The following is a 27,217-nucleotide window of genomic DNA, read 5'->3' on the forward strand; positions in this document are numbered from 1 at the left end:
CTATTTGGGCGGATTCTTGGCGCCGGAGGAAGAGGCAGGGTCACCCTCTCTCCACGTCAGAGACCTGACTGTGGAGATGGCGGCTCAGAAGATAAACGAGGGGCTGGAACACCTCGCCAAAGCAGAGAAATAGTGAGTGAGAACCTTCCGGGGGCCTGTGTGTAGACGCCGGGTCCGTCTCTCACTGGCGCGGCCTTAGCACCCGGGGGGGGCGGGAGGGAGGGCTCAGGGCTGAGGGGCCTCGGCGCGCTGGTGCCCGCAGGGCTGCCGGGGCTCGGTGTCCTCTGGGTCACACTCCCGGGGTCGGGGTCAGCTCTGCGGCGCCTCGGGAAGCGCCGTGGGTCCACCCCGCCGGAAGTCCGCTCCCCAGAGCCGGTGTGGGCGGGGACTCGGCGCAGTGCTGCGGGGCGAGGGCTTCTCTACTTGGGCGCTCTGCTCCTGAAGATTGTGGTGGGGGCTGTCTGTGCATCGGAGGCTCGTTAGCAGCATCCTTGGCCTCTACCTGCTGGGTGCCGGTCGCATCTCTTCCCCATTTGTGGCAACCCAAAATGTCATCTGGGGAACAACATCGCTCTGTTGAGAACCACCGCCCTAGAAGAGCCCCCTGTGTGGAGGGGACCATAGGTTTACCCCAAAAACTCCTCGGTGAACCTTTGTCATCTGGCATTTTACTGTCCCTGTGGGCAGGGACTGTGCTTCGTTCGTCCTTTGATGTGTATGTCCTGCCACCTCTGGTACAGTACGTAGTAGGCACCCTGCAAATGTTTGTGGGACTGAACTGATAATCCTTAATTCATCCTTTTGGCAGCCTCTTCCCCCCGTTTCATTACTCCAGTGCATTTTTATCTGGCAGTTACAGTTAATAGAAAGTCAGCATTGTGGGCCGGGCGCGGTGGCTCACGTCTGCAATCCCAGCACTTTGGGAGGCCGAGGCGGGCGGATCACAAGGTCAGAAGATCCAGACCATCCTGGCTAACACGGTGAAAACCGTCTCTACTAAAAATACAAAAAATTAGCCGGGCGTGGTGGCGGGCGCCTGTAGTCCCAGCTACTCGGGAGCCTGAGGCAGGAGAATGGCCTGAACCCGGAAGGCAGAGCTTGCAGTGAGCCGAGATCGCGCCACTGCACTCCAGCCTGGGCCACAGAGCGAGACTCCGTCTCAAAAAAAAAAAAAAAAAAGAAAAGAAAAAGTCAGCATTGTGCTCTGTGGTGGGTGCTTCACATACATAATTTCATAAGCTGAGATCTTCACAATAACTTTCCAAATAGAGATTCTAATTTTTCGTAAGAGGAAATGAGACTCAGGGAAGCCTCATAACGACTTGCCCCCAACTGCACAGGTGAAAGATCGCAGAGCCAGTTTTCAAACAGTGGAAAAACTCAAGCTCTATCACATGACTCGAGGCAGTCAGCGTGTAAGGTGCTGGGGCTCTCCTGGTGCAGGAGGTTCCCACAACATTCTGCTTTCTAGTGGGAGCAAACGCAAAATTTGTAATAAGAATAGTGTGTGGAATAGGGACCACAAAAAAGCTGTATTAACTGTGCATAGGTAACCCAGAGGGAGAAGTTTATTCTGCCTGAGAAAATTTGAGGAGGAGATGATTTGTGAGCAGAGCTTGAAAAATACGGAATGTTTTAGACGGAGGGAAAATCTTGTGAAAGAGATTCTGTGCGCAACCTGTAGTATGTATTATACGCGGGCCTGAAAATGTGCTCTGGGAACAGTGAATGTAGTGTAGTCACAGTGCCAGGGGACGAGCTGGAGTGAAAAAGAGTTGGGGCCAGACTGTGAAGGGACAGCTTCTCACATGGCTATTGTAGGCATCCAACCAGTGGACTCGGTTAGATTTGCTTTTGGTGAAAGAAATGTGGCAGCAGGCTGGGCCCTGTCGCTCATGCCTGTAATCCCAGCACTTTGGGAGGCTGAGGCGGGTGGATCACTTGAGGTCAGGAGTTCGAGACCAGCCTGGCCAACATGGTGAAACCCTGTCTCTACTAAAAATACAAAAATTAGCCGGCTGTGGTGGCGCGCACCTGTAATCCCAATTGCTCAGGAGGCTGAGGCAGGAGAATCCCTTGAGCCCTAGAGGCGGAGGTTGCAGTGAGCGGAGATCGCGCCACTGCATTCCAGCCTGGGAGACAGAGCAAGACTCTGTATCAAAAAAATAAATAAATAAAAAGGAAAAGAAAAAGAAATGTGGCAGCAGTGTGGAGAATGGACTTTGACATATTCAGTAAACGAACATTTACAAAGTTGTCTCTGTGTACCTGTACCAGCCACAGAGGATACTGGAGTAACCAAAAGTGGTCCCTTCTTCAAGAGCTTAGAATTCACAGGTGGGCAGACAAGTTAACAGAGGACTAAAAATAGGATGTTCAGTGCTAGAATAGAAGTATTCAGTGTGGTATGGTAGAGATAGGAAGCAAGGAAAAGGTAATATGCTCAGGATGTGGGGAATGGAAGAGGAGGAAAGGTGACTCTCCCATGAAGGTACTGCCAGACATGTTAGTGGGTTGTCGACTTCAGGGGAGAGGTGGTGATGGCCTGAATTCAAATAACAGTACAGGGGTAGGACTGGGTGATGTTTGTCAGTAAGGTTGACATGCTTTAATGAGGTGCCTGCATGTAGAGATGAAGAGTTAACTCCTAGGTTTCTAACTTGGGAGACGAGTGGGAGAGGCCTTCAGCCAAGATAGGGGATATAGATTAATGGATGTGATTGGTGGGTAGGTCTGGGGCAGGGAGGTGGGGCGGGGAGGTGTGGAGTTCAGGCTTGAAGTGTTAGTTTGAAATGCTGCTAGACAGAGTTACTCAGTGGGTGGTAGGAAAAATGGGCCAGGAGCTTAGGAGATATTTGATTTTTCTCCATTTTCTAATGATGACGTAGTTCAATATTGCTGAGTAATTTTGTAAATTGATCCCCACACAGATGGTAATTTTGCTGTTTTCTTTTTTTCTGTGGAAATTGGTCAGTTTCCTTATTGATTCTTTGGAGAAAAAGGTCAAAAGGACTAACAGGTATGGCTGCTAAACCCAAATTAGCTGTATATCTTTCTTCCTTATTAGTGGTGTTCATGTGACTTGGGATGGTTTGCCCAGTTTTAAACTCTCTGGGTCTTTCCGTGTATAGCACATTAGGTGACGGAGTGATTGTATCTTGTTTTTAGTGGGATTAAAAAAATTATGTTAATATACAGAATGTAATGTTTGTTATGGGATAGGAACAGAGGGTTAGCATTTTGCATATTGCATATTTCCTCAATTTTGTAGATTTGAGTAGACACACCACAATTTAAGGATATTATTTTTCTGAACAGTGAAATTCTTGGTAAGCTTGAAAAATTGCTTATTTTAATTTGAATCTTGTAACACTATATACACAAACAAGTTTTAGATGCTAAATATGTTGAATAAATTTAATTGGCAAAAAATGTTACTGTAGCTGGCTGGGTACAGTGGCTCATGCCGGTAATTCTAGCTCTTTGGGAGGCCAAGGTGGGCGGATCACTTGAGGCCAGGAGTTCGAGACCACCTGGCCAACATGGCGAAACCTCTTCTCTACTAAAAATACAAAAATTAGCTGAGTGTGGTGGCACAAGCCTGTAATCCCGGCTACTGAGGAGGCTGAGGCACGAGAGTCACTTGAACCTGGGAGGCGGAAGTTGCAGTGAGCCGAGATAATACCACTGCACTCCAGCCTGGGTGACAGAGCGAGACCCTATCTCAAGAAAAAAAAAGAAGCTATGACTTTGTGGCAGTTCCCATGGCTGTCACATAATGAAGGCTGTACTTCTGAGTGCTCATACAGATGCCTCATCTTTCAGTTAAGATACTCCCCTGAGTCATTTGAAGCAAGCAGTGTTCTGTGCAAGCAGGCCTTCACTAATTGAATGACATTTAGAATTTACGATGGTTTGGGCAATTTCTATGCACACCCAAATTTGACAGTTACTGAATTAGTTTAAACTAAGTCTGAAATTATTTTAAAATAAGAAAATAAATATTGAGGAAAAGGCAAGTAAGTTAAGGATTCAAAATTGATTGTCCTTTGGTTTGGCATCCAAGAAGCCAGTAGTGATCCTAGAAAGCAGTTTCTCTTGGCTTTTGTAATATCCTTCCCTTTCTGATTATCCTTCTTGTTTATGGGTGGCGAGTTTTCACTTTTTTTTTTTTTTTTTTTTTTTTTTTTTGCCTACTTCCTCTGTTGTTTCACTGAATGATTGTATTCCTTAGTCTTTCTGTTCTCTCTCTGCAGTCTCACTAGGGGATCTGATCTCATCTATGCTCTTGACATATGCTTATGATGCCTCCATTTATGTCTCTAGACTCTTGTCTGTGCGTCAGTTTCATGAATCCCTCTGCTGTCGATACTGTGCTTCAGAGGTTCTAAAGCTTTAATGCACCTTTGAGCTCGTTAAACCTCAGAGGTGCTGTAGGCTTGGGATGGGGTCAACAATTTACGATTTTAGTAAGTTCCCAGTTAGTGCTGATGGTGCTGGTCCAGGGACCATGAATTGAGAACCTCTAGGAGGAAAACCACGTACCTGTGACAGTGGGAGTGAAAGAGGTGAGGTTGTGTTTGTTAGGCCTAAGTTTGGATGGAGGCGGGTGACACAGAGTTTGTGCCTGATGGTTTCTCCTTTTTTTTTTTTTTTTTAAAGACCTAGAAGGTCATTACAAGCAGAGATCTGACTTATAAATGTGGTTGGTAACTCCTGTTAACTGTGTTTTTTTCATTCTAGCCTGAAAACTGGTTTTTTAAAATGGAAGCCAGATTATGACAGTGCCGCTTCTGAATATGGAAAAGCAGGTATTTTTGACTATAGTCCAGTTGCTCCAGTATGTAATCTTAAAATAGTCTGATAACTTCATTTCACCATAATACTTACTCATATGCTTTCTATAAGGCTTTAATAGTTAAAAAACAAACAAAACAACTGTGCAAGCCCTTGAGTTTTTTTCCACTTGTTATTTTCAGATGTGTTGAGAGCTGAGTCAGAGTTCCTGGTACCTGCTGTCTATGACAGCAGGGATGGGGCGGGGTTGGTGATACACAGTAGTGGGTTTTTAGCGTTGCTTATATATTCTTTAACTCCAGTTATTTGAATACCATATCCATGAGTTTTGCCATATTTCTCTATTATACTTTCTATTGAATTAGGAGTTTGTTAAATTTTTTGTTAACTTAGCCTCATCTTAACCTGATACGCAAATCATATGTTTGCTTGGTATTTTATGTCTTTTATGAACCTCACTTTGAGTGTATCTGTTCAGTGTTCATGAAGTGTTAAGCTATATACATATTTTAATCAATTTATCTTTATATAAGATATAAACAATCTAAAATATGCAACAGAAAGGGAATTTACTAAAAATGTAGCATTCTGAATTACAGAATGATAGCTTTAAGCATACCTGTGATAATTTGCAGTATAAATATAACAAAATTTTGAAGTACCTTGAACACATTTTCAGTTGTATTTCAGCGATAGCCCTTATCACATTTGTTAGCCTAGCATAGAGATCATCTGGGGCAAGTGCTTTTGGTTAAACAGCAAATGAGTCTTCAGTACTTTTATTTAAATCTGAGTAAATTCTGTTTTTTTGCATCATGCAAATTGTTTATCTTATACTTGAAAATTATTAAAAGTTCAAACTTTGTATGAATTTTGTGGACTACTCATGCAAGGAGGCTTCTGTAGCAGAAGGGAACAACATTTTGCAAGTTTCCTCTGTGAGGGAAATTTAACACAGATTTGTTTTCTGCCCCTCTGAGATCATGAATTACATTCAAAAATAAATGTTTTAGATGAAATTTTCCCCCTGAAGCATCCTTTGTTTATTTTCTTTAAGGGCTTATGGAAAACCTATTTAATCAGAATAAATTTTTTAAAAAGCAACATATGGAAAAGCAGGGAGGGGAATAGCTTCAGTATTTGGTTTTCACATTTTATTAAAGAGAATTTTAAGAGTGTTTTTAACAAATAGCACTTTTCTTAAAGCATTATGCTTTTTGCTTCTTTGTAAGCAACCCTTGATAAGTTTTCCAAAATTTGTAAGATCATATGTTATAAGCACTCCTGTTTTGTTTTGATGATTACACTTTTAAAACAGCTTTCAGTATGCTTTAGCTGTTTGAACAGTGAGACATCTTTTTCATAGATAGTAAACAGTATAAAAGATTGTTTTTTTAAAAAAATGCATTGTTAGACATTTAAAGATTGTGCCAAAAGGAAGGTTTATTATAAAAAACTGTTAAATGTGCTTATTGGCCCTCAGTTTCTACCTAATCGAATGACCTATACCCAAAATACCGTTTAAAGGTAAAACTGGTGAAGTAAGGTGCTGTCTTTTGTGACTGAAGAATCTGCCGGTTACTGGGGAGTATTGGGGAGTGTTGGTGTTAGAAAGACTTCTTGATTTTGAGTGGAAGAAACACTGATTTGTTGCCAGTAGTCAACAATTAAAAAAGAAAAAGTTTTAAAAATACTCGTAAGTTACCAATAATTGGAAAAGTTGTAAGGAAATTGCTTTAGAAAAAAGTAATATTTTATAGTTTTAGGATACTTCCTAAGTATTTGAAGTAAGTATGTTTATAATACTTCATATAAAATGCAGATTTCAGTAATGATTCATTTGAGGTTTTTAATGATGGAAATAGTCAATTTTTTTTTCTATTTCAGCTGTTGCTTTTAAAAATGCCAAACAGTTTGAGCAAGCAAAAGATGCCTGCCTGAGGGAAGCTGTTGCCCATGAAAATAATAGGGCGTATCTTTTTCAACTTTTAAAAAGAAATTAAACAATTAGATGATTTTGACAAGCTGTTTTCTCTTGCTGTAAATTTACTTTACTACCTGTGAAGTAAAATGTTTTTAAATTAGAAAATGATTAGAAAAATTCTGTATTTTTAAACTATGAAGGAGCGTTTATAATGAAGTTTGATTATAAGGTCCACACTGGTTCGCAGAGCTACAATACTTACTTTCTATTGTTTGTGATTTTACTTGATGATGGTTTTACTTGGGATGAAGTAAAGTAAATCTGTAGACATGTGCTGAAGAATGAAGAAGTAGCACAGGTATTGAAAACACGTGAACTACTGTATCAATTTTTTTAAATACAGTTTTCCTTAGGTATTTGAAATAAAAATTATAAGTAGTTTAAAACAGTACATTTTCTTGAGGTGTTTGCAAACTTATCAATAAAAAATGTTTCTCTTATTTGCAAACTGTAGTCATAATAACTTTGTACTTCAGTAAAACTTCAGATTATTGCGTAATAGAAATAGTTTAAAATCTGTGCAGTGTTTTGTTAGTGGTTTTGGGAATTATGTAGTTTTAAACTATATTGACAGGTATTGAATTACTTCTTTTTTACCTGTTTGTAGGATTTGTCTTTTGGAACCAACTGGGTCAGTGATTTAGTTAACTGTCTTTAAATAGTTGATCTATAGAAACTATTGATTTTTTTCTTTTTTCCTTAACTTTGACTTCGTTACTTCCATTCAGTCTTTTTCATGCTGCCAAGTAAGTATTCTTCATGTTTTCATGTATTTGCAAATTATGTTTTAAATGTTGCTGTTTTTCTGTAGGTTGGTAATTTTTTCCCAAATTATAAATTTTGTATTGATTTAAATAATAATCATTTCTCTTTGCTTCAGTTTTTACCTAAACCTTAAAAACCAAGACTTACTCCTAACTGTAAGATGTAAAGAGTTTAAATTAAATTTGCCATAATATTTTATTAGGAGCATTTTGTTCAGTAGCCTATGGGAAAAAAATAAGTTAGGATCTCTTTTTTCCTCTGTTTGATAGTTAATGGTGCCTGTGGAGATGAAGCAGGAAGCTTTCTCTTGCCTTGTGGAGAGTAGTTATTTGTTGGCCGAGGCAGGCGGATCACTTGAGGTCAGGAGTTCAAGACCAGCCTGGCCAACTTGGTGAAAAACCTCGTCTCTACTAAAAATACAAAAATTAACTGGATGTGGTGGCACGTGCCTGTAATCTCAGCTGTTGGGGAGGCTGAGGCAGGAGACTTGCTTGAACCTGGGAGATGGAGGTTGCAGTGAGCTGAGATCGTGCCTCTGCTCTCCAGCCTGGGCGACACAGCAAGGCTCCATCCCAAAAACAAACAAACAAACAAAAAAACTTAGGTTTAGGTTTGTCAGATGGAAATTAATTTAACCTTACTGAGCCTTACTTAATTTTGCATCTGCAAAATAAAATCTCTTTAACTCAAATGTCTGATGTTCTAAGCCATTATTCCCCACAAAAAAAGAATAAAAAATTATATTGTGTGGTAATATAAGCCTGAAGTGATATGTTGTGCATGAGCCCATTGTAATTGAAGTCACTTTCCTTACCAGTAGTTCCTCACCAGAAAGTTTCTTCTACCCCTTATTTCGTTAAGATCTCATCAGAGAAATTATATTCTCTTTGCAGAGCTTATGAGCAAGCTGGAATGATGTTGAAGGTCAGTAATGTTATGTCACAATTGTTGTGTAGGTAAAATGAATTAACTACAAGGTGTTAAACAAGAATTTTTGTTGAAGTTGAAAAGCTTCCTTACTGTAAGGCAAGAGGTGCTAAGTTAAGATTTTCTGTCCACGGTAACGTTAATTGGACCCATAGAATACATTCTGTACGTCTTAAGGAATGTTAAAAGTGAAATTTAAGAGAAAATGTATTGGAGTGAACTGGGAACACTAATGTTCTAAGCTCTATAACCAGGATAGATGTGTATTGCTATAAAAAGAGCTCTATGGGAAGTTTCTCTACTTTTGAGAAGGACATCTAAATGTAGTAAAATTTTATAAATATTAAAAAATTATCATACATGGGTTATAGAAGAGATTTTTACTTATGTGAATAACAGTTGGCAGCAGAAACAACCACAGATTTAAGCTTTTGCTACTTTAATTCATTCTGCATGGAATATTCCAACTAATGTACCTGTGCCACTGTTTGTACTTCTGCTCCTCAAAAGCAGGCCAGGAATTAATGTCCTGCTGTGGTGAGACAGAACATACTACTTTATGATGCTGACTTTCAAAGTATGCCAGCTGGCAGTTGAAATGAAGTATTTGTCTTTCTTTTTTAAAAATGTTTTTTTCTAAAATGGTAAAAGCTACTTTCAAGTATTTATTATAAAGCTTTGTTTTTAAGAACTTTTACCTTAGTAAAGCTTTTGTTTTTAATTTCTATGACTTTTATAATGTGAACTTACTCATTTTTTTAGTGAACACATGCTCATTGTAGACAATAAAAAATACCGAAAAGTTAAAGAATGTTAGTAATAGCTGTTAACATACTTAGTTTAAAAGATTTTATAGTCTTTGACCCAGGAATTTCAATTCTGTGAGTCTATCATCGAGAGAGAGAGATCAAAGATTTATGCATCAGGTTGTTTCTTGAAGAAATGCCAATTATCTAAATTTTGAATAATAGGAAAGTGAGGTTGGATGTAGTGGCTCATGCCTGTAATCCCAGCACTTTGGGAGGCCAACGTGGGTGGATTACCTGAGATCAGGAGTTCGAGACCAGCCTGGCCAACATGGTGAAACCCTGTCTCTTCTAAAAATACAAAAATTAGCTGGGCATGGTGGCGGGCGCCTGTAATCCCAGCTACTTGGGAGGCTGAGGCAGGAGAATTGCTTGAACCCAGGAGGCAGAGTTTGCAGTGAGCCGAGATCGTGCCATTGCACTCCAGCCTGGGCAACAGAGCGAGACTCTGTCTCAAAGTAATAATAATAATAGGAAAGTGTTTAAATAAATTATGATGCTTCCTTATTATAAACTATTATATATCCATTGAAATAAAGCTTTTCTGGCCAAACATGCAACTGAATTGGTATTTGGTGCCGCAAGTTAGGTTATTAACCACAGTTCCTTTGAAACCATAGAGTTTCTCTTACGGCCAAAGAAGCTGGGGATCTGCTCTGGTCTTCTTATGTCTCATTTTCCTCTGAGAATTAGGAAGCTCCCAGGTGGCTGTTACATTCTTAGTGTACTTCATGCCTGTTTAAGAAATGCTCAAACACTCTAATTCTCACAGCCTCAGTTTATATTACAACAGCTGTACTAAGACTTGAATCTTCATCAAAAGTTATTATTCAGGCATCATTTCCATTGCTCAAGTATCTATTTAATTTGAGGGTTGGAAAGGCACTACTTTGAATGAAAGAAAATTAACTTAGTGGATAGGGAAACAGATGAAGGAAAATGCTTTCTGGCATTGTCTTATATTTAAATTAAATGCCTTTGGACACTGTTGGGAGCACAGGACCCCTGAGCTACGTGGTCCACAATTCTGTGGGCTAAAATTTCTACCAATTTGTCATACAAACCTTCACACTGATTCACCAGAAAGGCTTGGGGAGTGCCATTTTGTAGACATATGCACAAGGGAAGCCACAGAAACTTGTTGGATCAACCTTTGGTTCTGTCACTTGATGACTGCTGTGATTTCATATCCTGTTTGCTCCACTGGCACACAGCCATTGAAAATAGGCATATTTATGGTGGAGGGTATAACTTTCAAGTAGGCAGCTCATCATTTTTTATGGAGAAGTATCAATATTGTGGTTGGACCTCTTACTCACAGCCTCACTTGATTTTACGCAAAAACAGGAAGATGTAGTTGCTAATTTTTAAACAACAAATAGGACTCGGATGCCATTTTTACTGCCTTCTAATGTATTTTTTGCTCTATCTACTGGGTAAAACTCATGACGAATAGTTCCTGTGGTTTTTTTATCCTCCCAAATGCTTTTATGTTGTAGATTCACATTATATATGTAATTAGTGGGTAGGTATATTTGGGGAGGAAATACAGTTGACCCTTGAACTACCCAAGGGTTGGGATGCCAACCCCTTGTGCAGTTGAAACTCTACATATAACTTTTTACTCCCCAAAAACTTTACTAATAGCCTGTTTTTGTTTTTTTTTTTTGAGACAGGATCTTGCTCTGTTGCCCAGGCTGGATTGCAGTGGCACAATCATGGCTTACTGCAGCCTCAACCTCCTGGGCTCAGGCGATCCTCCCACCTCAGCCTCCTGAGTAGCTGGGACTATAGGTGCATGTCACCATGCCCTGCTAATTTTTTAATTTTTTTGGTAGAGACTGGTTCTCGCTGTTTTTCCCAGGCTGGGCTCAAACTCCTGGGCTCAAGTGATACTTCTGCCTCAACCTCCCAAAGTGCTGGGATTATAGGCGTGAGCCACTACCCTACTACTGACTGGAAGTCTTATAAATAATATAAACAGTCAGTTAGTACATATGTTGTATGTTGTATGGAATATGTTTTATACTGTATTCTTAGAATAAAGCTAGAGAAAAGAAAATATTAAGAAAATCGTAAGGAAGAGAAAATATATTTAGTGTTCTTTAAGTGGAAGTAGAGCATCATAGGGCTCTTCATCCTCATCATAGTCTTCACGTTTGGGCTGAGGAGGAGGAAGAGGAGGAGGAGGAAGAAGAGGGGTTGGTTTTGCTGTCTCAGGTGGCAGAGGAGCAAGACAGTCTGCGTATAATTGGACCAGCACAGTTTAAATCTCTGCTGTTCAAGGTTCAGTTGTATTCTTTAAAAGCCAAAATGACCCTCAGGACTAATGTGTCTGAGAGAGATTTTGTTAGGTTTACCTCCCCTGTTCATTCAGATATTTTTCAGCAGATATTGTAGACTCGGATTCTTTCATTGACTTTTGGTTTTATAACAAAAAAAGTATTGTTTTTATTTTTTCACTGAGGTTTGGAAATGCATTAGCATTTCATTCTGCTTGAGTGAATGATAGCAGTCTTATTTCATACAGTGTCTTTCAGTCTGTGTTATTGTTAGTTTCCATAGCTAAATAATAAAGTTATGTTTTGGGGTTGGCGAAAATGAGACCAGTTTTGTTAAGGGTATCCTAATGAATTTGTCAACTTAGCAAGGGACTGAATAGGCAGATTTGTAAACCACCCATGAGATGTCAGTGTGGAGCCTACCTTAAGATACAGCAAGTCAACACTAAATAAGTTGCTTATGTAAACTTTATAACTAGCTTTTAAACGGTGTTTTTTTTTAAGTTTATTTTTAAAATGTTTGATTTGGAGATATTAGACATTAGGACTGCATGATCCTGAGATGTGTAGATTAATAGTAAGATACAGAATTTATTAGTCATGGAAGAGGGTTGCAAACTCAGATGAACTCAGGGTGTAGAGGAATAACTAAAATGAATGAGCAGCTGGGACGTGGAGGGCATTTGGAAGTGAAGAGCGGGGAGAAGCGCCAGGAGGTGCATGCTCATGTGGCGGGACAGTGCTGCCCAGCCCCAGCCTGTTGCCATACAGGGATGCAAGCCTGCTGATGCCGTAGCTTTTGATATTTTTTTGAAGAAAGCCATAAAACAATTTTCATGAAAGTATCTAATTTAAAAATACTGCATGGATCAAGCAAAACACACTTGGAAGTGAGATAGAGTCATTGGGCTGCCAGTTTGTGATCCTTGGCATAGGTCTTGTATGTAGTAGGGACTTGGTAAATGTTTAAAGAATAAGAAGTGCTTAGAAAACAGTAAAGAGCAAGGTTTTTGGTTTTTTCTATTTTCATAGATTTCCCAAAGGTCTGTGAAGTGATGATGAACTCTGTGTAGAAATTACCTGGTACCTTTTTGATTGGGTTTAATGAAGCTTGATTGGGAGAGTAATCATGTGAAGCATTTCATTTTAAATATCTTTATTGCTATACAATGTATTTGAGTCATTTACTTTCATGAATTAGGGATAAAATAATTGTATTTCATATCCTTTGCCCACTTTTTGATTGGGTTTTTTTTTTCTTGTAAATTTAAGTTCCTTGTAGAAAAAGAAGACATACAGCCAAGAAACATGAAAAACAGCTCATCATCATTGATCATTAGAGAAATGCAAATCAAAACCACAATGAGATCTCACGCCAGTCAGAATGGTGATGATTAAGAAGTCAGGAAACAATAGATGCTGGCCAGGCTGTGGAGAAATAGGAAAGTTTTTATACTGTTGGTGGGAGTGTAAATTAGTTCAACCGTTGTGGAAGACAGTGTGGGGATTCCTCAAGGATCTAGAACCAGAAATACCATTTGACCCAGCAATCCCATTACTGGGCATATGCCCAAAGGAACATAAATCATTCTATAGAAACGTATGTTTATACAGTAAACACGTATGTTTATTGTAGCACCATTTACAATAGCAAAGACATGGAACCAACCCAAATGCCCATCAGTGATAGACTGGATAAAGAAAATGTGGTACATATACACCATGGAATACTATGCAGCTGTAAAAAAGAATGAGATCATGTCCTTTGCAGGGACATGGATGAAGCTGGAAGCCATCATTCTTGGCAAACTAACAAACACAGGAACAGAAAACCAAACACCGCATGTTCTCACTCATACGTGGGAATTGAACCACAAGGACACATGGACACAGGGAGGGGAACATCACACTCCTGGGCCTGTCGGGGGCTGGGGAATAAGGGGAGGGAGAGCACTAGGACAAATACCTAATGCATGCGGGGCTTAAAACCTAGATGATGGGTTGATAGGTATAGCAAACCACCATGGGACATGTATACCTATGTAACAAACCTGCACATTCTGCACATGTGTCCCAGAACTTAAAATAAAAAATAATTGCATTTCAGATTGTTAACTCTGTTTTTCTTTAATTGATGCATTTGCTGACCTGTCTACTGTATCCTTTGCCCAAAGGAGATGCAGAAACTACCAGAGGCCGTTCAGCTAATTGAGAAGGCCAGCATGATGTATCTAGAAAACGGCACCCCAGACACAGCAGCCATGGCTTTGGAGCGAGCTGGAAAGTGAGTGTGAGATGGACAAGTCTCTGCATAGAAGTCTTGTCTTTTTGTTTTAAAGAGGTCCCTGAAAAACAAGTTTTCCATTTCTCATATAAGACATGTTTTCTTGTCTGATTCAGGCTTATAGAAAATGTTGATCCAGAGAAGGCTGTACAGTTATATCAACAGACAGCTAATGTGTTTGAAGTAAGTTTGAATCTTATTTTTTTCTTTAATTACTTAGAATGTTTAGATTAATAATATATAGGAAAATAGAGAAGTGCAGTGGCTACTTTTAAAACTTTTCCCTGCTCACAGTTGCACGCTATTTCTTTTCTGTTAGAGAGTAGTGAAATGAACTAGCAGCTTTCGTGTTCCCCCCTTGATCCAGTGCCATTACTTCTTTACAAAATAAATATTAGGGGATAAAAACATTTCAACATTAAAGCAGCCAACACTTGTTTTTCTTTGATTCCTTCAGAATGAAGAACGCTTACGACAGGCAGTTGAATTACTAGGAAAAGCCTCCAGACTACTAGTACGAGGACGTAGGTATGTCTTTAAAAACTATTGCTGTGTGTTTAACTATACTTTGAATCCACATTTGGAACTGGAAAGTAATTTGGGGGATAGCTTGTTAATTTTTTGGTATAAGCTGTAGACACACCAGGCCACACAATAGAATATTAACATTTACTAGACAGTAGGCACACTGAATTAGATATTAAAAGATCTGCTGTTTTTTGAAAGTGTAATGCCCAAATTTATCATGCACTGTGCTTTTATTGGTTGAACCCTGGCTCAGCAACATGAAAGGGAACAGTTTCCTTCATCTGTTACTTGGTTGGATTATAATATCTCTCTCAAGGAAAAATAAGAATATTAGGATAAATGACAAAGATGCATAAACACTCACCCATGAAAACTGACAGGTTCTTGACAAATAGTGTCATTATTAGAATATTTACCTTGTTATCGTTTCACATATGACCTGAAGCACAAATAGTTGAACCTCAGAAAGCTAAAATCCTATTGGGATTTCCTTTTGTTTTTTTACTTTATCTCAGTTTACTTTTAGTAAACAATTTTTTTCATTAATAAAATTCTGTCTCAATAATATTTAAGATAAACATCTCTAGGAGATTGTAAGTCTGCAGATATCTTAATTGAAATTTGTCCAAAGCTTCCCAGTAACAGAAAACACCCAAGATCCATTTAATATGTCAAGGAATCAAAATAGAAATGACTGATGAATCTATCCTATCTGAGACTGAATTAAATTTTTTCTTCATGAAGACTGCAGATTCTGAAATACAATTTAAACCGGTCTAGAGTAATATGAGAATAAATTAATCTAGAATTAACTATTAAACAATCTCATTTAGATTAATTTGTTTATAGGACCTTCCTTCACTGAGGAGTATTTTTTTGTCTAAATGGAATAGAAATTTCATTTTGTTTTTAAATTAGGACTTTAATCATGAAGGAAAGTTTAATTTAAATGTCAGTCCGGGGTCATTATCTTTATTCATCTTATTACTTACTCGTCGCTTCCCAGAAATCAGTGAATGAAATGCTAACTCTGACAAATCCCAACTTAAAAATGGTTCACTTTAGTTTCTGAAAGTGTTTGTTACAGCAGCAGAGCTGTTCTTGGTGATGGCGTTATGGCTGTGGCAAAATAGCTGAACTGTGAGGTGATACCAAGGTTCTGACTTGTGAGCAGGGGCCCCATGTCTTAGAAACAGTGTCCTTCATTCTTTTCAGGGCAGCTAGGAGGCAAGTTTTAGCATAGTTTACCTCCTTTCTCTTCTGTTCTCATCTCCTGATGCTCCCCGACAAGACTCCCAGTGCCTTTCTAGAGCGCTAAGCCCCTTACTATAAGACCCCATGGAAGGTGAAGGAAGTGAAGTTGCAGGAAGGGGCAGAAGTTAAGGACAGCCCTGTGTGAAAGTCCAGACTGCATCAGCTCCCCTGAAGTATTTCTGCTTTCCACATCTTCTTTCCTTTTGTTTCTCAAGGTATAGATTATCTAAAGCTGTGTTGTAGAGGGAGTAGCAGGAAAGGAGAGAGGCCAGGATCTTTTCGGGGGAGGTCAGATGAGGAACGTTTTCCAGCTGCCTGTGCATATTCCTTTAGAAAGCTCCACTAGGGATGGGGGCCACCATCATCCTCAAAACATTACCAGTGTTGCCAGTCGGTTTGGACACATCTGATGAAAGCCATTGTTTTAAAGCAATTACTGTGTTAAATTCTTCAAAGCCTCAGCAGAGGGGAGAATGCTAGTTGAGTGAGCAGCAGAAGTGAGAATGCTGCGTAGATGTGCTCAAAGGGCACATTTATAAATCCAGGGCTTTTATTCGTGACTTTGTTTTATTGGTTTTTTTTTTTTCTTTTTAGGAAAAATGTATTTTAAAATGGTACTTTCTACTGTGCTCAACAAAAATGTTATGGAAATATATTTTTGAAGTGTATTAACAATATAAAAATTAATTTAAATTTGTGCAGGAACATGAAGGAATTTGATCTTTTGAAAAGTGTTGCTGGGTATCTTGGTATGAAAAAATTAAGTCTACTGTCATGGTACTTCTATTGGGAACTTAAATAGTGCAGGATAAGAAAAAACATGCAGTGTTTATAGTGATGGAGACATTATTGAGATGATTTATGTGATAATTGAAAATATTAACTATGTGCTTAGATTATTATTTGATTGCATCTGTTGCCTAAAAGAACTAAACAGGTGGTAATTTTATGCTTCACACAAGCAACATCTACTAATAGACTGTGTGGCATGGAGTCTAAAGTTTTATGTTTGTTATATTTAGTTAGTGCACTTATGTTTTTACATTAACATGAGTCCATAAGATGTCCTAATTTAATACTTTCTATGTTAGTGTAGCAAAGAATCTATTTAATATATTAATCTCTTGCTTCTCCTTCAGTTTTGGAGAGTCAAAATTCAGAAGTGATTCGTAGTTTCATTTAGATTACATCTGGGAAAAGTCAGTCCAAGGCCAGTGCCCTTGTTCCTTTTTAGAAAAGGCCTTTCCAGGCTGGGTGCAGTGGCTCATGCCTGTAATCACAACACTTTGGGAGGCTGAGGCAGGCAGATCACCTGAGGTCAGAAGTTCAAGATTAGCCTTGGCCAAATGGTGAAACTCCTTCTCTACTAAAAATACAAAAAGTAGCCGGGTGTGATGACGCACACCTATAATCCCAGCTACTCGGGAGGCTGGAGAATCGCTTGAACCCAGGAGGCACAGGTTGCAGTGAGACTCCCATCTCAAAAAAAAAAAAAAAGAAAAGAAAAGAAAAAAAGACCTTTCCAGCAAGTTGATCATGACCTTGTGCCTCTGAGAGAAGGTCTATGCCTCTGAGACAAGGTGTGTGGTCTCAGTGAACCCAAATCCCTCCTAGAAGACTCACTTAGCAAAGAAAAGAGCTGCTTCTCACCAGTTGTCTGAGACAGTCACTAGATCCTAAACACAAGGAGGGTTGGGTGTGTATATGTTCAGGGGTGGGATGTGTGCTATTAAGGAGAATCACTGGGTTTCTGTCTTGCATAACTGTTCTGTCCATGGTGCCATCAATAACTGAGATAAGGAATATAGAAACAAACTTATCAGTGATGATAATAAACTTAGCTGGGAATATGACACATAAACTAAACATTTCTGTAGGTAGTTAAAAATAGGTTTTGGAGTTCAGGAAATAGTTGGGGCCAGAGGAACAGTTTGAGTTGTGGTGTAGAAGGTGTCTGTTGAAAGCTTGGGGATGAATGAGGTTCTGTGACAGTTTTCTGCCATTTGCACATAACTTCTGTGGGGTTTCAATTTTGTTACATTTGGGGAAGATAAAAACAATTTATTCTTTTTTCAGCAAAACCAAATTCTTGTCATTTTGTTAGGAATATTAAGTATTACCTGATGGAAAAGTTGAAAGCATCTGTGTTTCATTATAATAAGTAACTAATACTTTTCTGGATACATTTAAAAATAGATGGCTTTGTATGCTAATTTCATGGCCTTTTAGCAAAGTCGATCAACTTTTTCGACTACAAACTCATGTAAGGGCTTGGCTCTTTTGTTAGGTAACTATATATTAGCACATAGAAATGCTAATATTATGTCAAGGAAATAAACAGTTTATGCGTAAAGAATGCACCCTTTATAGTTAAATATATGAAAAGTTTAAAATACTGAGATTGCTAATAGAATGATATAATCTAGACACGACGGGCACAGAATATTCTGACCATAATTTATTTTATAAAACAGGATCTGTTATAAGCTCAGGGTCACAATTATAAATGATACAGATACATGTAGCTGTAGTCCGCCTTGCATTAATTTTTTATTTCTGCATAGCAGATTGCTACAAACTTAGCAGCTTAAAACAGTACTCACTGATTAGCTCACAGTTTCATGAGGCCAGAAGTCTGGATACAGTGTAGCTAGGTCCTAGTGTAGCTAGGTAGCAGAGCTAGGGTCTCACCAGGCCGAAATGAAGGTGTCGGAGGGGGCTGATCTCACCGGAGGCTTGGGTCCTTTTCCAAGCTCATTGATTGTTGGCAGAATTGATTTCCTTGCAGCTGTGTGGAAGAGATTCCTGTTTTCTTGTTGCCTGTTCGCCAGGAACTGCTCTCAGCTTTGAGTTTGCCTTCAGTTCCTGGCCGTGTGCCCCCATTGGTGGTTCACAGCATGGCAGTTTGCTGCTAATTCGAGACATCAGGAGTACTCTGGCCTCTAACTTAAGGAAGGGCCCACCTGATTAAGTCAGGCCCACACAGACAGTGATTCACTCGAAGTCAGCTGATTTGTGTCCTAATCACAGGATGGCCCATCATATTCCGAGGGTCACACCTACACTTAAAGGGGGATTATAGAGGAAATGTTTACAAGGGGCAAGAATCGGGAGCACTCTTAGAATTCTGCTACCAAACCCAGCTTATAAATTGACTTTGTTCCAAAAATTTATCAAGTTGACCTGTGGAAATTCAGAATGCATTTCTCCTATGAGTGTCATTTTATAAGGCACTAAGTTGCCAGCGTGCATCCCATAAAGATTCAGTTTAACTCATGATGTAAGTAGCCATAATAGCATAAGCCAAGCCACTGTGTGTGTGGTGTGTGTGTGTGTCTGTGTATACATGCCACTATTTTTAAAAAGATAACATACAGGCTGGGTGCGGTGGCTCACGTCTATAATCCCAGCACTTTGGGGGGCTGAGGCAGGTGGATCCCCTGAGGTCAGGAGTTCGAGACCAGCCTGGCCAACATAGCGAAACCCCATCTCTATTAAAAATACAGAAATTAGCTGGGCGTGGTGGTGGGCGCCTGTAATCCCAGCTACTCGGGAGGCTGAGGCAAGAGAATCACTTGAACCCGGGAGGCAGAGGTTGCGGTGAGCCGAGATGTCGCCACTGCACTCCAGCCTGGGCAACAGAGTGAGACTCCGTCTCAAAAAAAAATAAAAAGACAGAAAAATAGAGCATATAGCATAACAAGCATAACATTTTTGTATTTTTACTTTGGTTTACAATACCACTTACCTCCCTTTGAATCCCGATAGTACAGACTCTTGCCCCTTTTGGCTGTTGGTTGTGTGTATTCCCAATGCCCAGACCCTGGTAGTTTCTCCCATAACCGTGGACTGTTATTGGGATGAGAGCAGTGGCTAAAGACTGTACATTTCACTCAGTCTCAAGTTGTACTACTGAGGGAGTCCTGGCATTTGGAGTATACTACAGCTTTGCAGGGAGGGGAGGTTCAATTAGGGTTTGATGGAATTAGGGCTGGGGGAATGAGAAAGGGGTAAGGGCCTGGAGGGTTTGGGGGAAATGTTTTGGTGACCCCTTTCCTTGCTTTCGTCTTCATTCTGCCATTGGGCAAAATGGAAGAAAAGGAGAATGTATGAGGGTCAATGGAAAAGATGAATGTTGAAGACTGAAGATGCAGGAAGGCTTTTGTTTAGGTCTCTAACTTGCCTCCCCTCTGCTGCCCTTTTAGGCACCTCAGAGCTTGCTAGGGCCACTGGGGCAGCAGCGGAGTATGTGATGGAGGGACACAGTCGGGGGAAGGCACCGAGTGCCTTGGGTGTCTGGATGTTCTTTCAGTCGGGAGGAAAGAAATCTTGGGTGATTTAATCGAAGATCGTCTCAAGTACGTATCACGAAGAAGTCGTGACACTCGCTATTGGACAGTCCTTACTAAGCTTAAAACTCCCCGTTTGACCTAACCCATCCTTGAGTTCTTTTGCTTTTTCTGTCAGCGTGCAGCCTGAAAGTGGGGAGTCAGACATTTGAAAGGTAAGCCAGATGAGCAGAGCATGTGGAAACCTGGGTCCTGGGGCAGCTGCTAATAATACCTGTCCTCCTGGTGTCTCTACAATCTATGATGTCAAGTACATTTCACAGGGGACCTCTGCTATAGATCATTTAGACCTGCTTTTTTTACATTTCTGTGTTTTGTTTTAGGTTTGATGAGGCGGCACTCTCTATTCAGAAAGAAAAAAATATTTATAAGGAAATTGAGAATTATCCAACTTGTTATAAGGTATTCTTTGAAAGTGTTTGTTTTTGGTATTACATTAGATGATTTTTTATACTGGTATGAATAAGTACTTAAGAAAGGATTCTATGGGTATTTCTATGTTTTTGTAAAATAATACTTCATGGGCCTCTATTTTTGACCAAGATAGAGTAAGCCCACTACAGCTTGTTTCTCTGCTGATTACAGCTAAACTACTGGATAAAATACAAAAGCAACCACCCTTGAACTCTGAAAAGTAAATAAAAAGAGACTAAGGAGAGGAGCAAACACGTGGAGAAACAACCACCATGGGAATGAGTTTCTCGGGTTTTTTTCCATTTCCTCTTGCAGCATTCATTGCCCTGCCCTGAGAGAAGCCCACAGTTGTGGAGCTGGGCAGCAAAGGCTGCAACAATGAAAACTCCAAAAGAAACCCCGCCTTTCTAACCAGCAATGGGAGAAGAGGTCCCATTGTTTTCCTCTCCTTTGGCTTTGCTCCAAGCTTGTCCCAGGCATGGAGCTACACTGTGATGATGGCTCAGGTTGATAAAACTCCACAAGGACCCCAGTCTCTTTTGCCAGAGGAACTAGGAAAATGAGCTAGAGAGCAAGGAGAAAATTCCGGAAAGGAGAGAGCTGGAAACGGAGTCCCCTGAGTGTGGATGTGGCCCACACAAGTCTTGGGTTTACTCTTCAGCTGTGCTGAGACAGGCCTCAAAGTAGCAGTGCAGCGCAAAGCTTGGAGAGCTAAGATTTCATCACTGTCGAAGTGTTGCACTGCCCTCTGAAGGGCTTATGCATGGAACAGGCCCAAAGCCACATAGCAAAGGATTTGAATTAAGTGTAGAACTTCCATCCACCAAAAACAAGGCACCACATGTAGTCTGAACCTAACTGGGGTGATTACCTGCTGAAAACATCTGTACTCTCCTGAAAATTAAGCAGAGGCTGTGCAGCATCACATTCACAGTACAATCCAGAATTACTCAACATGCAAGAACCTGGAAATATGACCAGTTTTCAGGAGAAAAGACAACTGATGGCAACCCGGCAGTGACCAGGGTTGTTGGCATTATCACATAAAGACTGAAGCAACTATAAGTTGCTCCATGAGGTAAAGATAAACACAATTAAAATGAATAGAAAAGAGGACCTGTTGTTTTTTATAGGAAAAATTATTTTTATAGAAACTATAAAAATGAACTAATTGGGAATTTTAGGACTGGCAAATACATTATTGAAGTAAAATAATTGGATAAGCTTAATCTCAGAGATGACAGAAGGAAGACTTTGTGAACTTAAAGATAGATCAGTAAAAGTTACCTAAACAATAGAGACACCAAAAGATGGAAAAATACTTCATGAAGACCTATTTTTCCAGTAATTTATCAGTCATATCCTTGATCTTATTACTACTTTTATTGTTGACTTATCAATACTATCATTGTTTCTGTTATCTGAAGTTTTCACTCATACATCTTTTTCCTAGTTTCTTTTTAAGGATTCTAAGTATCATTGTGGTGTTACGGGTCCCCCCCACTTCTTTTTTATTCACTTTTCAAGATTGAATCTGTGTAGATATTTGAAAGAGATCTCTTTAAAACGTGGTTGTGATCTAAGGCTTGTGTCAAAGTGCGGTCCCCAGACCAGCAGCAGGAGTGCCCCCTGGAATTTGTTAGAAATGGGTGAATCCCAGGCTTGCCCCTAGCAGCCAAATTCCAGGACATGAGAATTGGAAAAGTACTGTTCTAGGATATTTCCCCTCAGGTGTCCCGTGGAAGTTACTATAGCATTTATAAATCTCTGTTTATACAAACAAAGACTCTGAAAGTTAAACTCCAGGTGTTTTCAATACTGCCAGGTTATTGACTTTATTAAACAGATGTAAATTTGACCATGATCCTCTCTTTTGTTTTAGAAAACAATTGCTCAAGTCTTAGTTCATCTACACAGAAATGACTATGTAGCTGCAGAAAGATGTGTCCGGGAGAGCTATAGGTAAGACGTTGTCTGGGCCCTCTTGACTTGCAGTGGCGACACCTCTGTGTCTACAACTAAGATTGCTGCTAGGACACATGTTCCTGGCCATGAAACTGTCATTTCTAAATCTTAGGAGTGCTCATCTACCATTTCATCTTTTACAGTGGGTGTTTTACACCTTTTTTTTTTTTCCCTTTCCTGTATTTTTCTCTAGGGGACCTCCATGGAAGTGAATGACTTTAGTCATTTTAGTCATTTTATTTGCCTTCTAAGAAAAAAAGAACAAGAAAAAGGGGGAAAAAATTATCAGATTTATGTTACAGAAATCAAAATGAGGAATTTTCTCGGTGTTTAACATGAGCAGTCTTAATCTCAACACTGTTAACATTTGGGCTGGATAATTCTTTGTGGTCGGGCCTGTCCTGTGCACTGTAGGCTGGTTAGCGGGATCCCCGGTCTCTGCCCTCTAGATGCCACTAGCATTCCCACACTTTTAAGTACCAAAATGTCTCCAGACAGTGTCACATGCCAGGGGCAGAATCATCCCTGCCTGAGATGTGTTCTTTTAAGGAGAAGGTGAAGACGTGTGATTTGTGCTTACTGCAGCATCCCTGGGTTCAATGGCAGTGAAGACTGTGCTGCCCTGGAACAGCTTCTTGAAGGTTATGACCAGCAAGACCAAGATCAGGTGTCAGATGTCTGCAACTCACCGCTTTTCAAGTACATGGACAATGATGTAAGTGGACCCATTTGCATAGCTTTCATCTTTTCTCTTGAAAGAAAGAGGTTTCTAGTGAGATTATTTTTTACCCATGTACTTAAGAGATTTTTTCCTACCTCTTTTTTTCTTCTCAAGCTACTACTCATAAGGAAACTGACCACTTGCATTGAATTTCACCATAGATTTAGATAAAATAGATGTTAGTTGTGTGGTGTATAGCCATTTACTCACCCATCTAACTCTGTTGACCATATACATATTTTAAAATTGAGGCTCATTTCTCCACTTTTCCTCTATCTGTTGTCCTCTGTAGGTTGCTTTTATTCATTTCTTTTAGACGGACTCTCTGAAAGAGGTCCATTCTGTAGTGGCCTTTGTAATTCAGTAGACCTATGAAAATCTGTGAGGACTAGCTGTGTGTTGCAGGTCATTAATTATCTCTAAGCCTCAGTTAATTCATTTGTAAAAATGAAGCCACTAGTACCTGTCTTGCTGGACTGTTGTGAAGAATACATTAGTCAGTGTGTGAGAAATATCCTCACATGATGTCTTGCACATAAAGTGAACCATGACTATAAGTTTTTATTTTTTCTCATTTGTCTTTTTCAGTAGATTTGTAAGTACCTGTTTGGCCTTAGGCCTTTAGAGTATCATCATAGTATCAGATCAACTTAAGGCCTTCAGTTGTTTATTATAATGATATATGTAGATAATTTTTTTTCTAAATAACGTCTTACATAGGTTTTGAAAATATATATATTTCTAAAGTTTTAATTAAAAAAAATTTATAATTGAAACTTTTACTAGTTGTGTACCTGTCCCACCATGGTCATGAGGCATCTGGGGAGCAGCATTGTTGGGCTTTGTTTTTCCATCTGAATGGTAGAATTGGTGTTCCTGAGGGTGGGGAGCCAGGCTGTGTCTTTTTAGAGCTGAGTAAAACATGTTAGGATTCTAGTTATCCAGCTTTTAAGAACATGTTCTGTTGTTGACAGTATGCTAAGCTGGGCCTGAGTTTGGTGGTTCCAGGAGGGGGAATCAAGAAGAAATCACCTGCAACACCACAGGCCAAGCCTGATGGTGTCACTGCCACGGCTGCTGATGAAGAGGAAGATGAATACTCAGGAGGACTATGCTAGTATTTTGCTTGCTGAAAAGAAAAGGGAAACAAAGGTAAAATCCTGACATGCCATTTCAAGGACTTGGGAATAGATTAGGGATATCCGTACTTCATTACAGTCATGATTTTGGATCCTAATAAAGACTAGTTTTTAGTTACCATCTTCCCAAATCACTCATTGTATCCATTACCTGTGAAGCATATCTTTTTCTTTCCATAAGAGCTTTTCTAAGACACCAGCAGGAATTAACAGAAAATGTACTGTCATGTTTTAATACATTGATTAAAAAATTTGCAAGCCAAATTATACATAAATTATGTTCTAAACAAAAGGGGTAATAAGCATAGGTATTCTCTCTTGGACACTTGTAAGTTACTGTTAGTGAATTGTTTTTTACGTTTCATTTAATAATTGCTGCTAAAGGTGATGTTTACTGATAAATCATTTTAAAATTTTTTTGTTTTGAAAAGTAAATTTATCCCCCATGATGTTAGATACATTTAAATTATTAAGTCTTTTCAGAGATGAGATGGGGACAGGAAGTTATTTTGAGCCTTACAATATTATTTAGCCCAATAAAAGATGCATTGAAGCTCTTATATATTATGAGTTTGAAAAATTTTGAAGGTAGCATATTGAAGTGATCTATAAATATCTTCAGTCCTCTCTGAAGTGTGGGTATTTCTTCTATCTAAAAAATACATACAGTGACTGTCTTCAAATCTACTTGGTTCTTGACCAAATAGGAGCTAATGGGTAATGAATACCTTTTTGTTTGTTTGTTTGTTTGTTTTGTTTTTTGTTTTTTTTTTTAAGGGTCTCACTCTTTTGCCCAGGCTGGAGTGCAGTGGCACAATCACGGCTCCCAGGCTAATGTTTTTATTTTTAATTTGTAATTTTTTTTTTATTTTTTTTGTTGAGATGGAGTTGCTCCATGTTGCACAGGCTGTTCTCAAACTCCTAAGCTCAAGCCATCTGCCTGCCTTGGCCTCCCAAAGTGCTGGGATTGTAGACATAAGCCACCTCACCCAGCCTATGAATATCTTTCTAACATTGTAAGAATGAGGTAATGTTTCCATCAGTCTAATACAGATATATTTCTTCCCTCCAAAACAGTTTATTTTGATTGTTTATTTTATTTTGATTGTAACTCCGTCATAACTTGACATGGAAAATGCTATATACTATGAAAACTTAGCTGAAAGGGAAGAATTGTTTTAGAAAGACAATATTTAAAACACCGCACTGCCAATATATTGATCCTTTATAGTTATTTCCTAAAATGCTGTTTTCGAAACATTCCTTTTTCACCCTGTTGTGTGGCTTAGACCCATCTCGTAATCTGTTAATTGGAAAGAGGCTACAGACACCAGCAGTGTGCGTTCTGCAGGTACACGCTGCCAAAGTAATTCCTGCTCATCCATGCCCTGTCTCTGTCTCTTTTAGAGTCATACCTTATTTGAGTATAGGTTGCTTAATTTTGCTAGACTTCCTGAAAACACTAAGGTGGAGTATCAGAAGTGATTTTAGTCACAGTTCTGCGGGAGAGCTTAGAATAACATCCTCCTTTGGGAGGTGGTCTCGGGTGCGTGGATGTTGGTATACAGTCTTTATTGTAAGTCTGATACAAAATGCTAATAAATTTAATGTTTTTCTTCCTTAATTTATTGGCATAGTTCTTCAGGTAGCACCTCATTTTTATTAATGATATTGGGATTAACTATGAACAAGCTATATGTAGACATTTGCATTTAAGGACATTGCAGTGTTTCAAAGATCCCATCATTGCAGCTTGTATCCTTTAGATCCAATCGGAAACTTCTGGAGTCTTACATTAATGCTCATTTGAGCTAATTAGTAATCTGTTTAAACAGATTTGGCAATACTTTAAAGATACTGTAGACTATTTATGTATAGATAGATCATATTACCCATTAAAGTCTGGGGGAAAAAATTTTTTAATTTTACTCTTCTTATGTACTGAAAACTTTTTTTAAAAAAGGTGATGATGAAGTGCATTCTGTAGCAGCAGCGCAGCTATGCTTTAAACCACACAAAAGGCTGTGTCCAGGTGCAGCCTCCTTCACCCTTCCTGCCCACGGTGAGGATTGAATAACCAGGACTTGGGGATATTGTTTGTTGTCAGGGTTATTCTGTGTGGTAAGGAATATTTGTTTCACATTTATACATTTTCTTTTTCCACTCACGTAAGTTTCTATCTTGAGAGCATAGTCCAAAGTGCAAAACTTGGTGTTTACAAGGAAAATTGTCTTCCAGAACTCCACTGTCATCACTTTCACCAAAGTGGAAGTTTGCATGAATATGCTCAGAATCTAATATTCAATGTTCTGTTACATTGTAAGTGAAGTCCAGCTACAAAATAGATTTAATATATTGAATTTATTTGTACATATGCAGAGTACGGTATTTCTGTATGGAATCTGCTTTATTCCTATTTTTCCCAACTCTGATGAGTAGAATATTAAATGTGTTGTTATGGAAATACAGATTATTGCTTCTATAGGAAGATAATTATGAAAATAAAACCTGAAACTATATAAATATAATTGTTCTTTGTATTATTTATTTTGTTTAGCTTGTTTTAATTTTCTTTTTTCCAGGGACACATTCTCTTAATTATATGACTTCAGCATTATTTTACAAGGACAGTATTTTGTTATCTGCAGTTGTCTTTTCTGCTCTTTGGGAGTAAGGTACCTTTGGGAATTTAAACTGTTTGAGCTTCTTAAAATACCAGTCATTCAGTTATTGTAATACTACATATACTGCTGTTTGGTGAGATGAAAGACTAATACCTCTTCCAAGAGAGTAATTCTTTGATTGGGTTAAGTGAGATAAAACCATGTATGATTAGGAGGCTAAGAGAACTGATGTGAAATTGTTTACATAATTAGCACCTTAAATACTAGCAGATTTACTTACAATCAGACATTTATTGGATGCTAACTATGTAATATTATCCCTGTCTTTCATGGAATGGAAATTAATAATATAATTTGATACCTGGATTCAGGAGAAGT

At 39.0% G+C, this 27,217-nt stretch overlaps 1 protein-coding gene across 4 annotated transcripts, besides 1 other annotated feature; it reads left to right on the plus strand.

Moving 5' to 3' along the window:
* NAPG (NSF attachment protein gamma) lies at positions 1–26,738 on the plus strand. Of its 4 annotated transcripts, XM_011525754.3 has the most exons (13): positions 421–739; positions 2,975–3,019; positions 4,744–4,811; positions 6,685–6,769; positions 7,510–7,527; positions 8,440–8,470; positions 13,736–13,845; positions 13,962–14,028; positions 14,303–14,373; positions 20,300–20,378; positions 22,273–22,352; positions 22,941–23,070; positions 24,051–26,738. In XM_011525754.3, exons 1-13 carry the CDS (start codon positions 549–551, stop codon positions 24,192–24,194), a joined length of 1,119 nt encoding a protein of 372 aa, XP_011524056.1. In that variant the 5' UTR covers positions 421–548; the 3' UTR covers positions 24,195–26,738. The 4 variants fall into 4 exon arrangements, with proteins under 4 accessions (NP_003817.1, XP_011524056.1, XP_011524058.1 ...); NM_003826.3 differs by lacking the exons at positions 421–739; positions 2,975–3,019 and adding an exon at positions 1–132; XM_011525756.3 differs by lacking the exons at positions 421–739; positions 2,975–3,019; positions 4,744–4,811 and having other exon boundaries at positions 6,718–6,769; positions 7,496–7,527.
* Positions 144–393: a silencer, noted in NCBI's record as "silent region_9293". NCBI's record gives its function as "represses an Ori minimal core promoter by ATAC-STARR-seq in GM12878 lymphoblastoid cells {active_cell/tissue: GM12878}" and the evidence as "EXISTENCE:reporter gene assay evidence [ECO:0000049][PMID:35858748]".
* Positions 26,739–27,217: the final 479 nt, after the last annotated feature.

The sequence above is a fragment of the Homo sapiens genome, chromosome 18 (genome assembly GCF_000001405.40).
Source record: "Homo sapiens chromosome 18, GRCh38.p14 Primary Assembly".
Classification (NCBI taxonomy): Eukaryota; Metazoa; Chordata; class Mammalia; order Primates; family Hominidae; genus Homo; species Homo sapiens.

Excerpts from the sequence above, each read along its gene's own strand:
- NAPG (XM_011525754.3), top strand. The coding sequence starts at position 549 with ATGTCATCTGGGGAACAACATCGCTCTGTTGAGAACCACCGCCCTAGA. Across the intron at positions 740-2,974 it reads GTCCTGCCACCTCTGGTACA|TTTCCTTATTGATTCTTTGG; the intron begins GTACGTAGTAGG and ends GAAATTGGTCAG. Across the intron at positions 3,020-4,743 it reads AAGGTCAAAAGGACTAACAG|CCTGAAAACTGGTTTTTTAA; the intron begins GTATGGCTGCTA and ends TTTTCATTCTAG.